At 39.7% G+C, this 13,765-nt stretch overlaps 1 protein-coding gene and 1 long non-coding RNA gene across 7 annotated transcripts in view; both read left to right on the top strand.

The window, feature by feature from the left end:
- MAGI1 (membrane associated guanylate kinase, WW and PDZ domain containing 1) overlaps positions 1-13,765 on the top strand; it is a 685,393-nt gene that overhangs the window by 278,738 nt on the left and 392,890 nt on the right. The gene's annotated exons all lie outside the window — the stretch shown is intronic.
- The window catches only part of LOC107986018 (uncharacterized), a 63,442-nt gene that overhangs the window by 22,432 nt on the left and 27,245 nt on the right, over positions 1-13,765 (top strand). The gene's annotated exons all lie outside the window — the stretch shown is intronic.

Genomic DNA, 13,765 nt, shown 5'->3' with positions numbered 1-13,765 from the left:
GGGGAGGAGGAGGAGGAGGAGGAGGAGGAGGAAGTTGAAGACAATGATGACAACAATCATAGTAACAGTGGTTAGCATTTATTTTCCATGTGCAGTATTCCAGACCCTATGTTGAGAGTTTGACCTGCATTATACCATTTGACTTCCAACACAATTCTATTACATGAAGGAAATACTTTCGTGCTCTCCAATTTTTGCTCAGGAAAGTGAAGGTTAGAAAGGTTGTGTAGCTTTCTAATAGTCAGGGCTAGTTACACACTAGAGCCAAAATTTGAATCCAGGCTAATTCTAGAGCCCCGAATCTTAATTTCAGTGCTATATCACTCAAATAAAAATGGGCCCCCTTTTGAATCTTTCTCACCTCTTCACTACCTCTTTAAATAAGGAGGTATAGACTCTATCAGTTTTACTGGAACACATCTCACATTCAAGCACAAACTTGTTAGTCCCAGCATTGCCCCATGACGTTGAAATGAAGACCTTTCTTTTATGCCTTTAATAACAGAAAAGGAAATAAATGCAAGTAAATGTTCAAGACTTCTGTTTGTTCGGTCTTGTGCTCCATATAACTTGAAATCAGCCTCTTCTACCCCCCACCCACTGCTGCTGGCTGAGATAGATAGTATTTTGCAGTAGATGCTTTTTTTGTATGTTGGGTTTTCTATCCCAACCTTTTGGTTGCTTGCTTAAATACTGTTCTGGTATAATGACACACATTGTCCTGAGATCCCAGTAATAAGAATAACAAGAGCAGCTGCCTTTTCTAGTTGAGTGCTTCTTTTGTGCTAAGCACAGATGTAAGGAACATTATCTCCTCTATTCCTCACAACACATCCCCATTTTATAGATAAGGAGACTGGCACTTAGGCGGGTTAAATGACATCCATGAATATATGGCATTGGATGAGATGGTTACAATTTTAGCAGCTCAGTTCAATATTTTAAAAACTGTCCTAGAGGAGGGCATCATGTATTGAGAAGAACAACACTAAAATTAGGGACTTGATCCGATTCCTTGCTCTCCTGCTAACCCATCGGGAGACACTAGATAAGTTGCTTTTGACTTCCTTCAGTTTCACTTTCCATTTTTTTTTTTTTTTTTTTTTTTTTTTTTTGCACTGGGCCTAACAGTTCTCCTTTCTGGGGCTGTGGTAAAGAAAATATGTATGAGATCATATATGAGAAAGCTTGCAAGGATTAGATGGATTTAACATTTGAATTCTAACATTCACCAGCATATATGTTCCTTGAGTATCTTATTTTTAAAATGTGGGGACTAAGTAAACATTTGCCTATTTTTCAGAATTCTTGGAGGTGTTTGTTGGAGTCAGTAAAGAGTTTGGAGTCAGAAAGTTTACGTTTTTGAGAAACACTGCCCTCATTGAATGAAGGCAACAAAAATATTATTAATTGATTTCTCACAGTTTCTCAACCTTGCCATATTTGAGGCCGAATACTTCTTGTTGTAGGGGCTGTCCTGTGCATTGTAGGGTATTTAGCAGTATCCCTGGTCTCTACCCACTAGATGCCAGTAGCATCCTCCATTTGTGACAACCAATAATGTCTCCAGACGTTGCCAGATGTCTCCTGGGGCATGATATTCCCCCCCAGTTGAGAACCGCTGCTTTGGGAATATATATTGGAAATTAATTTACTTAACATATTATGAATATGCTGCAGACTGGGTAAAATGTGATAACGGGAATGTATGGGCAGTTTGCAAAATCTGGCTCACTGAGGACCAGAGTGCTATTTTCAGAAATGAGCTCCAAGTGATTAAAAGAAAAGAGCAGTCAGACTGGATGTCTGATATTTGGGTAGTTTTGAATATAATAAAATCAACAGTGTAAGTAAGCATCTTTGAAAAGGACGAATGACCTTTCTCTTTCTCCTTTCCCCGAGTTTTGTTTGTAAGCTTTATTTCTCTCCCCAGATGCTCCGCTTTATGTCTTGCTGTGGAAAGGTGATTGGCTCAACAGCTCCATTCTAGGGGGTCTTTTCTGCACCTCTCTGAAAAGAACCAACTAGGACTGGGAGATTTATCTCCTCGAGTCAACAGACCTTTGAAGTCAGCGAGTGTTGTTGTTGTTTTGGTTAGAACCCAGTTAATTTGACCCTAGGATTTGAGGTGCCTTAGAGCTCTGTGTGTGTAAGATGCTGTGACATCACAGAAATGGGTCTCTCAAGCCAGTTTTTCCTGAAGGAAGTTTCTGGAAAGAGAAGAAATGCTCTAAAGTATCTCTCTAGAGAAGATTATGTGTCTCTATTGTTTAAGGGAAATTGGGTGATACATTTAGTTAAAATTGAAGTTTGTCTTGCTTTCTAAACCAATGAATGTCTTAACTTTATAAACCAGAGAAAGCAGAAATGAGTACTTAATTTCTCAAATAATTTATTTTAGGATTTCTTTCTTTAAATCATGTGGCTGACAAACCTAAAAGTTGAAGCAGTTAATAGTTCCTGCATAAACTGAAACACTTCTGAGAAGATGGTTTAAGTCATTAGGAGGGTATGGTTCTATTTATAGAAATTAATAATTTATTGAGATGAAGTCTGGCTCTGTTGCCCAGGCTGGAGTGCAATGGTGTGATCTTGGCTCACTGCAACCTCTGCCTCCTGGGTTCAAGCAATTCTCCTGCCTTAGCCTCCCAAGTAGCTGGGATTACAGGTGTGCACCACCGTGCCCAGCTAATTTTTGTATTTTTAGTAGAGATGGGATTTCGCCATGTTGGCCAGGCTGGTCTTGAACATCAGGTGATCCACTTGCCTCAGCCTCCCAATGTGTTGGGATTACAGGCGTGAGCCACCATACCCGGCCAGAAATTTAATTTATGGTACATTTTTGAAAAATGTGACCACTGGTTATATAGCTACAATGGAGTTTATTGTAAAATTTCAGAAAACCTCTTTTCTATAGAAGGTCCCTGGCCTCCAGTTTTGGTCCTCTGGAATGGTTATAAGTCAGTGCTTCTTGTGCCCTCAAACTCAGTGAAAATTAAAAGAGTTAACATAGACAATCAAATATATTTTTCTCTCCAAGTTACTGTTAAAAAGTAGCAAATGGAAAGCTACATAATTTGAGAAGGGCTCTTGAGTGATTTTATAAACCTCCCGGCAAGGAGGTAGCAACCCAAAGCTGTGATAGATTATGAGATTCTGCAGTATGTTTTCTTAAGTGTCTGAAAAGAATTATTTCAGTATGGTATTTGAGTTATTTTCTTTAACTAAAATACTTTCAAATTTGGCATTCCGTGTATGGGTTCAGATGTAAGTTCATTACCAGAGGAATTCTGTTTTTCATCAGGGATAGGTAATAAAGTGTCTTCCTTGTATGATGGTGTGTTTGTGTATGTGGGTATTCTGTTGTTTTAGTTGAGGCTGTATAGCTTTCATTTTAACTCTATTCTCTGAACACTCTGTATTGAAGGTAAGACTGTCTCCTGATGACTTCCGAATATGTCATCTGGAAATATGACTGTAATTTTTCATAAAGGTAGTTTACAGGAAGAGACTGTGGCACCATAATGCACTTCAGAGTGTGTACAGTTGGCAAAGGACATATCTCAGGATGTACAGAGATGCTTATGAAAGACTTGTTACAGTAGAGACCTCTGCTGACACCAGGAGCCAGACGCTGGGATGAACATATATCATTTATAAAGCCATGCTCCTGTTCTGTCTTAGGGCAGGGTTTTATTTAAATAAGCAGGGTCCCCATGAGAAGTATGACCTTTGCTCATGTTTTTATGAGCTATTTAAAGTGTTCTAAATTTACTAGTACATGCAACTTTTACCGAAATCTTGCAGCTTCTCTTTTCTTTAGATCCCCATCACTTGTGAGAACATTGTTCTCATCCACACCGACATGCACCACCATTTAACTTATTTATGCTGTGTAAAAATGCACACAATTTTTTTCCCCACTGGCCATCTTTAGAAGAGTTTAGTCTCTAACTCTTTATTTTTTTCTCAGGGATCCACTAAGTGGAAAACTACATCAAATTGTCCCTTTTCTTCTCTGTAAGAGGGGATCAATTACAGAGCGAACTAAGTTGGAAAAGAGAGAAGTCTATAAGCCCCGACACGATAATTTTTAACTTCACGAACATTGTGTAGTTGTTCCCAGTTATAGAAAATCTTTGGAATCTTTCATTGTGAAAGTTGAAATTATTTTAAAGACTTAAGGGGAGAGCTTATCTAGAAGTAAGAAATGGTTAAGACTATGAATTTGAAATGTAAGTGATCAGAAATGACAGATTTTGATTTATCTAGGTTTAGATTATTCAGTGTTTATATTGCAGCATGATAATGCATAAGGTTGCCTGCAGGGTAACAGTTTTCTTAAATTAGAACTATCTGAAATGAGTTGGCATGAGGTTAATAAGATTTTATTTTAATAATAATGGTAACTTTGCAGAATAGCTGTTGCCTGAATTTTTTTTAGGCTTACTCAATTGTGGGTAAGTTAGTTTCATTATTCACATGAGAAAATACTACAGCATTATGCTAACCTTCCTGAAGGCCATAAACATATATAGTTGTAACCTTGGGTCTCATTTACATTTTCTTAGAAGACTTATTCATTTTATATGCCTATGTGTAAATTCCTACCACTTGATGCTGAATCCTATCACAGACTGTCTAGAAGAAATGAATTCTAATTACCACCCCCACTGTTCCCTTGCCCCCGAAGTACTCTATACAAAATAGTGATTTTTAATTCAGATACACTTTCACATGCTTGAGTGAATATTCTGATATCAGAGACCAAAGGTATAGAGCAAAGAGTATGGGTTGGATCATATCAGATATGACCCTGAACATGTCTGAATGACTTAAGCTTTCTAAGCTTTTTCTCTTTGATTGTCAGAAATAACTACCTCCTTGGGTGAATTGTAAACATTAGCTGATATAATGCAAATGTACTATTTGTGGCCGAGCGCGGTGGCTCACACCTGTAATCCCAGCACTTTGGGAGGCTGGGGCGGGCAGATCACCTGAGGTCAGCAGTTTGAGACCAGCCTGGCCAACATGGTAAAACCCTATCTCTACTAAAAGTACAAAAATTAGCTGGGCCTCGTGGCACGCGCCTGTAATCCCAGCTACTAGGGAGATAGGAGAATTGCTGGAACCCAGGACATGGAGGTTGCAGTGAGCCAAGATCACACCACTGCACTCCAGCCTTGGTGACAGAGTGAGATTCCATCTCAAAAAAAAAAAAATTTAAAAAATAATAAATAAATAAATATACTATTTGTGGTGTAACAGTTATTTAATTGGCCAGCCCCTTCCTCACCTCTCTTTGTATGAAAGATAACTTCCTTTTAAACATAGAAAACTAGCTGATACTTACTCCAAATTAAGTTTAATCTCCAAGATTTAGTCTCCGATTTGGACAGTAATCCAAACTGGTTGGCTAAGATGTTGCCATATGTTCATTTGTAACTTGGCATATTTGGTTTGAAATAGTGAGAATAAACTATTTGAAAACCCAGTGGGCCTTCTCCAAAGCTTTGGTTCTTTTAGCTGCCTAAAACTAGCACTGCCTTTAAGGGGAAAACCCAGTGTACACGAAACTATTTTCCTTAAGACATTGCCTTTGAAAGTGGCAGTGATAAAAAGGCAGGCTCAACATCAGAAAGTGAATCATGAAATACATCTAATAAGATACTTGTTTCAAAGGCTTATGGAATAACTTTCTTGATCTTGAAAAGTGATATTACACACAGAAATCTGGGGACCAAAACAAGTGAGTGAGCATAAAATGAGCACAGGAATGAATTTTCCTGTGCCCTATAAGTCCTTGATAGATGTTTTAGATAGTTATTTTTTCCTTTCTTCAGTAATTAGCTCATTATTTTTTTCCTACATCACTTGAATGAGGATGGAAATTAATCGTAAATGTGCCATTGTTTTTACATCAGATCGTGGCATATTTGCTTGATTCTTTGTTGCGGTAATCAAAATTCTGTCTCTCAGTGATAAGAAGGAATTGTGGATTTTGCTTTTATCCTTTAAAATCATTGGTAAAAAGTCACTATATTTTAGCAATATCTATCATGTGATAGATTTCAAGCAAACAGAAAATGAGGATGGGGAATTGAAGAAAGTTCTTTGGGAATCCCTAAGATCAATGAGAAAGATTTTGTATAATTATAACTAATGCAGAGGGCACAATAAGTTATTCATTCTTTACACACTGTGTTCAGTCAGACATTCTCTACAGTCTATACCTGCAGCTGTGTGGTCCTTTCCCATGCCTATGATCCGAAAGTTAGGTGGTTCGCTCCTTCTGGGCCCTTCTGCTTTTCCTAGAATTTCAACTTTACTTTTCTTTCTCCTGGATATTACTTCCTGGGAGGCAGTTTTGTGTGGTGATTAAAAGAATGGGCTTTGGAATCAACTTGCCTGGGGTTGAGTCTAGACTCTTTCACTTGCCAGCTACATAACATGGGTACAGATTACTTTTTTTTTTTTTTTTTTGAGATGGAGTTTGTGGTGGTGCGATCTTGGCTCACTGGAACCTCTGCCTCCCGAGCTCAAGTGATTCTGCTGCCTCAGCCTCCCGAGTAGCTGGGATTACAGGCATGTGCCACCACGACTGGCTGATTTTGTATTTTTAGTAGAGATGGGGTTTCACTGTGTTGGTCAGGCTGGTCTCGAACTCCTGAACCTCAGGTGATCCTCCCGCCTCGGCCTCCCAAAATGCTGGGATTACAGGCGTGACAGATTGCTTTTTTAACTCTTAGTTTCTTTACCAATAAAATGGAGATAATAACCATACTCAGTTCATAGGTGTTTTTGGTGAAGATTCAGTGAGATAATATGCAGGAGAGTGCTTCGTATTGGTGTTTTTCTCAGCTTTCTCATTGGGTTGATGATGGCAGAGTGTCTATAATACCACAAATTCTGACGAGCCTGGACAGTTTAGGTCTCACAAAGTGAGCTGAGTGTGTGTATTTGCAATGCATCCCTGTGGTTCTCGGGCACTCAGTTTCAGTTCAGGATATACAGATCTTCCCAGATTTTCTCATCTCGGTCTCTGCCATCTTTGGTGTTGCACTATGACGTAAGTTCCTCCTTCTTTCCCTATTTCTCTTTTAGACATTGTTGAGGAAAAAAATCATTCTGACACTTGTCAAAATGGTCAGGAAGACTTTACTGAGGACTGCTGTAATAGGGGTATTACAGTAGAGGAGGGAGATCAGGCTCAACTTTGAATACAGCCAGGACAAGTGGGATTTATAGCTAATGAGCAAGGGAGGGTGTGAGGGGAGGTCAGTGGGTGGAAAATGACTAAGAGGAGATATCAGAGGTAGAAAGATTTTGGCTGCACTGACCTAACAGGATTCTTGCTGAAAGCAGGCCAAGATGATAAGATGTCAAGGATTGAAGTCGGGGTGGGATATGACTGAGTAGGATTCTTTGCTAAGACTGGGCTGGCCAGCCAAAGACAGGACAGGGGTTAAGGTTGAGGCCTAGTCCAAAAAGAGGGCTCATAGGAACCAGACTAAAGTTTGATCAAGTAGAGAGTCTTTGTGAACACACATCAAGGCCTTGTCCTCAACCAAAAATACATGCCTGCATGACACCATAACCTTAGTAGCTTGCTTCTGTATGCTTAGAAATTATACCTCTGAGATTATAGATGTAATTTTACAAGATTATTTTTAACGTTTTGTGGAGAACAACCATTTTGGATTAATTATGTCATTAATTTTGACATTAAATTACATTGATTTGATTGGTTACCAATTATAAAGCACTTTCCCATGCATTATTTTATTTATTCCTCACACCAAACCTAAGTAGGCATTTCCTCATCTTATAGAAGAAAATTAAACCTTAGAGAGGCTAAGTTACTTACCTAACACCATATTAAAGTAAACAACAGAGGCTGAGTTTTGAATCTGATCTTAAAGCTACTTCTAAGTATCTTTGCAGTGGGTCACTCTTGTAATCCCAGCACTTTGGGAGGCCAAGGAGGGCACGTTGCTTGAGTGCAGGAGTTTGCAACCAGCCTGGACAACATGGTGAAACCCTGTTTGTACAAAAAATACAAAAAAAAATTTAGCCAGGCCTTGTGAGTTGCGCCTGTAGTCCCAGCTACTTGGAGGGGCTGAGGCGGGATGATGGCTTGAGCCTGGGAAGTCAAGGCTGCAGTGAGCTGAGATTGTGCCACTGCACTCCAGCGTGGGTGCCATAGCAAGACCCCGTTTCCAAAAAACAAACAAACGAAAAAATCAGACGATATCTTTAAGGATAAGTAGCTTTTTAAAAAGTTCTTCCATAAGAAATTCTGTTTGTAAAAGAATAGAATAAAGAAGGAAATTTTTTAAAATTGGATGGAGATCAAGTCTTTTGACTCTAAATATTGTATATCTTTTAAACTATAAAATTGAATGTAGAGTTTTAATATATTTTCTTCAGAGAGAGCACATATATATGGAATGCACATGCATATGTAAATCTGCACACATACATCCTTACATACACACTGCCCACATTTGACTCAGTGATACTTGCAAAGACCATTCTTCAGTGACATTTGGAAACTGCCTTTGTCATCTCTCTCTTTCCTAAGGCCTCTATTAAATGACAAGATTATTGTCTTGTCCTCTTGGTAAGAAGTCCATACTGCTAGCATCCAGGAAGTGTTTTTTAGAAAGCGGCTTATCAGAACCGTGTAGAACAGTGCCCTTTTCTCCGAAGGTCAATGCAACATCATAATGTTAGATTGAAAAGAGACATCAAAAGTAGACAAAGGGAGAGACACTGTGTGCTCTTTGAAGCTGACCCTGCCACACAATGGGAATGCTCCAGCCTGGCTGTGATGCCGGGAACATTTCTCAGGCTCTTTCTGTCAGTGCACCATTGCCCAGCAGGGGGCAGGACAATTTCTTTCTTCATGAGAAGCCTCCAGCTGAAGGATCTTTACATTTATTTCAGGTCTCTGAGCTAGAGTAAGGGCAGAAATGGGATCGATACCTTTCTCATCTTTTGAATGCAGGACTAGTTTTAGGGTTTTAATCAGATGTTTCCCCCAAATAATTATAGCTTATACTCACCAAGCTGTTTCCCAGTGCCAGGCACGTGTGCACACAATAAACACATTAGCTGGGTCAACCCTCATCACAAATTTCTGAAACTGTTTTTAATCCCCATTTTAAAGATGAGGAAACAGGTTCAGAGAAGTTGAATCACTTGCCTGGTGCATCTTATATAAAGAAAGGTTTCAAGCCACTTTGGTAACTTACTTTAATGTCTCATGACACCTAGCACTGTAATATTCTTTCTTTTCCTGCAAAAATTTCAAGTAGTACTATGTTTCGTATGTTGATTGAGAAGAGTTAATATGTAAGAGCCCTTCCTACAAGGTCTACTTGCTCTCCCTTGGTGGCTTTCAACTTTCAGCGTATGTAAAATACCTTGCGGGGAACTTGTAAAAAATACACATTCATGAAACCCGAGATTCTAATGTTATAGATTTGGGATTGGACTCCAAAGTAAGCATTTTACCTCAGGTGAGGGAAATGTAGGCTATTCGTTGACTGCTTTGGAGAACTTCTGATTTACACAGCAAAATTTGACTTCTCAGAGTTTTGATTCCCATAGTCACTAATTACATTGCATATGTTTCTAAAATGTGTGTGAACCAGTATTTGTTAAACAAATCAAATCACTATTTAGAGTAACTATATTGTTAGGTATTTTGTAAACTTTGTGAACTCATTCTACAGTTCATCTAGCTTGTTAATTTGATTGTAATGGTAGATTTTTTCTTAGAGGGAGATGCATTTCTACTTGAGAAGCATCATTAAAGATCCCTTTCTCACCACTGTACGTATAAATCCCTGGTACTTGTTCCCTTTTTAAAAAGCCCGTTTTCCCAACCTCCTCATCACATATGTAACTCCTTTTAGGTTCTCCAGATTTCTGTTCCTGCCCTCCATCAGCACAGTGACCAGAATTATAGGATGGTTGCTTTGGGGTCCCAAACTATTATTTTGCCAATTACGGGACCATCTTGTTTTGGTGTTTGCCAGTGGATTTATGCCATTTGGTTTTAATTTGCAGAATGTGTCCCAGCCTCAGCACCCTCAGGAACCCCTTTCTGCTCTGCCTGCCCTTAACCAGAGCCTTGGCCACCAGGAGTTTGGGTTTTCCTCGTTTGTTGTGCTGCAGCCTTCCTGACCCCATCTCTCATTGCACCATCATTTTGAGTTTAAATGCTTCCCCCTGCATTATGGAGTAGGTGGAAAAAGTAAGCTCTGTATCATCTGGATCTTGCTTGGGAAGGCCAAACAAAACCTCTTTTTAAAAATAAGGATTCCAGAACATATCTTGAGGCCTCCACTTTTGTTTGCTTGGTCAGCATTTGATTCAGCGTATCATTTCTACTGGCTATAACCCTCAACCTCATTTGCATAACGAATGATTGGCCCACAGCAGTTTTTTTTTTTTTTTTTTAACTCAGACTAGACCTGGTTTTATATATTTATTTTATTCCCATAGGTTTTTGGGGGAACAGATGGTATTTGGTTACATGAGTAGGTTTTTTAGTGGTGATTTCTGAGATTTTGGTGCACCCATCATGCAAGCAGTATACACTGGACCCAGTTTGTAGTCTTTTATCCCTCATCCGCTTCCCATCCTTTCCCCTTGAGTCCCCAAAGTCCATTGTGTCATTCTTATACCTTTGCATCCTCATAGCTTAGCTCCCACTTATGAGTGAGAACGTATGATGTTTGGTTTTCCATTCCTGAGTCACTTCACTTAGAATAATAGCCTCCCATCTCATCCAGGTTGCCACAGAACAGTTTTGCAACTGATTTTGGTCATGTTTTACATAGAATCACATCACCTTCACCTTATTTGATGGATGCTCAGTTATAAGGATAGCTATGGTAACAGTAACAACAGCTCTTATGAATTGCATCATGCACTTACAGACATTGGGCACTCTCTTCATTTAACCTTCACTATCATGATCTCTGAGGTTTGCTGGCTACCACTGAGTGCCTTGCATCTTAACATGATGAAGTCTTGGAAGCCCATCAACTCTCCCACTGTAGAGAATTGGATGGCTGTGCTGTGTTCCTCTTATTCCTCCTATACCTCCATTTATAGTAGTGCCTGAGCTCTGTCAGTTTTAACACATCTACTGTCCACCCCTACTGCCGCTGGCCTGTTTGAGGATACCATCTGGATCACCATTGCCACCCCTATTACTCTCCTGCCTCCAATGTTATCCCCCTTCCCAGGGCTGCTTTGGGATCCTGTGTTGTTTCTGCCCTTTTGTCCGTGTCATTTCACCAGTCTTAAGTGCTGTATACCCCACTGTTTACTAACCTGGCCAAACATCAATCCCCCACCAGGCCTTGATTTTGACAATAACTCCCCCAGGAGGTCATGCCTCTCATGTCCTTCTTTTTGGGGGCCCATAGCATCCTTTCTTTATCTCTCTTATTACATGTGTCAAGCTGTATAAATGTGGCCTGTTTTTTAAATCTCTTCCTACAACTTGGTCACCAGCTCCTTGACATCAGATGTGGCACACAGTAGGTGTTTAATAAGTATCAGCTGAAACAATGGAAGGACAGGTGAACCTAGCCTGCCCCTCACTGTGTTGCAATACAAAGCGGCAGCTGCAAATTCTTATCCTTTGAATAGATACATAACTTTCCTTCTATTCTGGACTCTCTGGGGGTTCCTGCTCAGTTTTAGAAAATCTTAACTTAGAGCAGAGCCAGAACATCTAAAGGCCCATATCCTACCCTGGGCTTTGCATTAATCATCCCCAAAAGACTTGAACTTGAGAATCAGAATATTCCTGTGGCTCACAGTTTTAGTGTTCTACTTGACACACAAGAAAGTGGGCATGGGGCCTGCTTAATGTCACTGTTCTCAGCAACTCTTTGAGGGCAGTTTTTGTTACCTAATAGATATTAAAATAACAACTACACCTTAATTCCTTTAGGAATAAAATAAGAGCAAACTTGAAAAATCTTCATGTCTAAATTTGGCTACTAAGGAGCACCCTGGCCCATGCTTGGAGCCTGACTGCCTCTGAGACTCTTAGGTTTTCCTTGTCCCTCTTAGCTATCATCAGTTTCGGAGAGAGGAGGAGTCCTGTTTCTGGCAGGAATGCTGTGAAGCAATATCTTTTTAAAAACTGTGTTTAGAGCCACATTCTGGTCCTAATTACTGGCACCCCGAGTCTTGGTTTCCCAGCATTTGGCTCACTGGCTTCTCTGCCCACCACCCCTGCCTCGCCCGCTGGCTTTGCTTCTGCCTTTCTGTAGGCCAGTGGTTCTCAAACTTTTTGGTCTTGACATTCTTTTAGACTCTTTTTTTCCCCCTTAAATAGACCTTATTTTTTAGAGCAGTTTTAGGTTTAGCAGGAAGATGGCGCAGAAAGTAGAGTCTCCATGGACGCCTTCTCCTCCTCTCCCGCAGTTTCTCTTCTTAACATCTTGCATTATTGTGGGACATTTGTTACCATTGATGAATCTATATCAACACATCACTTAACTGAAGTCCACAGTTCACCCCTCTGGACTCTTAAATATACTCGAGGACACCAAAGAGCTTTTATTCCCTGCATATTTACCTTTTTAGAAATGGAAATTGAGAAATTACAAATGTGTATTAATTCATTTAAAAAAATTACAATAATATCCCTATTATGTATTAACATAAGTAATATTTTTTAAAGAAATAGTTTCTAGAACTAAATATTTAGTGAGAAGAGTGGAATTTTGTTAGATGTTTGGCCATCTCTGGGCAGTCTGGTTTAATGTAGGGCAGCTGGGTTCTCATTGCTGCTTCTGCCTTCAGGCCTGTAGCCTCTGGAAAACATAACTGTAAGATGAGAGTGAAAAGGGCATGTACATCTTTGCATGATTAAGTAATGGTTTTGAGCTTATGTATCTCCTGAAAAAGTGTTAAGACTCCTCAGAGGGTCCCCTAAACACAGTTTGAGAACCACTTTCATACACCTAAATGATGCTTTCCTTTAACTCTTATTCATCCTTTAGGTGACTGAGACACGGTCTTACTTTGTTGCTCAGGCTGGCTTTGACTTCCTGGCCTCACACATTCGTCCTGCCTCAGCCTCCTGAATAGCTGGAATGTCAGACATTGGCCACCACGCCTGGCTTAGATCTCACTCTAAATGTGCCTCATCAAGGCGTCTTCCATTAGCCCAGACTAGATCACCCTGTTTGGCCTTCCCATTACATGTGCTTGTACTAAAATATGTGTATTTGCTACTAGACTGTAAGTTCCCCAAGGCCAGAGATGGGGCTCTGTTTGCTGCTGTATTATGTATTCCTAGCCCAGAGAAATGCTCTGAATATACTTACTGAGTCAGTGATTGACTAGGCAGAAGCAGTACAAAGTAATATAATTATTTTCCAGATATTCACCAGTGAAGAGGGAAGAGGCTTGAATATAGTTTATTTCTATATTATATTTTAATGCCCTTGATGGCTGGAATCATGCTTTTCCCCTCCATGTCATCAGCAAGGGTAGTTTGTGCTCACTAGATGTGCCGAGTGAATGGATAGATACCCAAGAAGAGGACGGGTGAATTCAGGGGTTGGATGAGATGTCAAGTAGGACTTTAGGGTCCATTTGATTATGTGATTGTTATGTCCTGGAAATGACTAATTATACTGTCAATGATATAGTTATTTCTGAGTTATGTTTGATATAGTGACTCCATATACTTGCATCAGAAACATTTATCATCCTATATAGG

The sequence above is a fragment of the Homo sapiens genome, chromosome 3 (assembly GCF_000001405.40).
Source record: "Homo sapiens chromosome 3, GRCh38.p14 Primary Assembly".
Taxonomy (NCBI): Eukaryota; Metazoa; Chordata; class Mammalia; order Primates; family Hominidae; genus Homo; species Homo sapiens.
The sequence above is the reverse complement of the archived record's forward strand: the minus strand, read 5'-3'. Positions and strand labels throughout refer to the sequence as shown.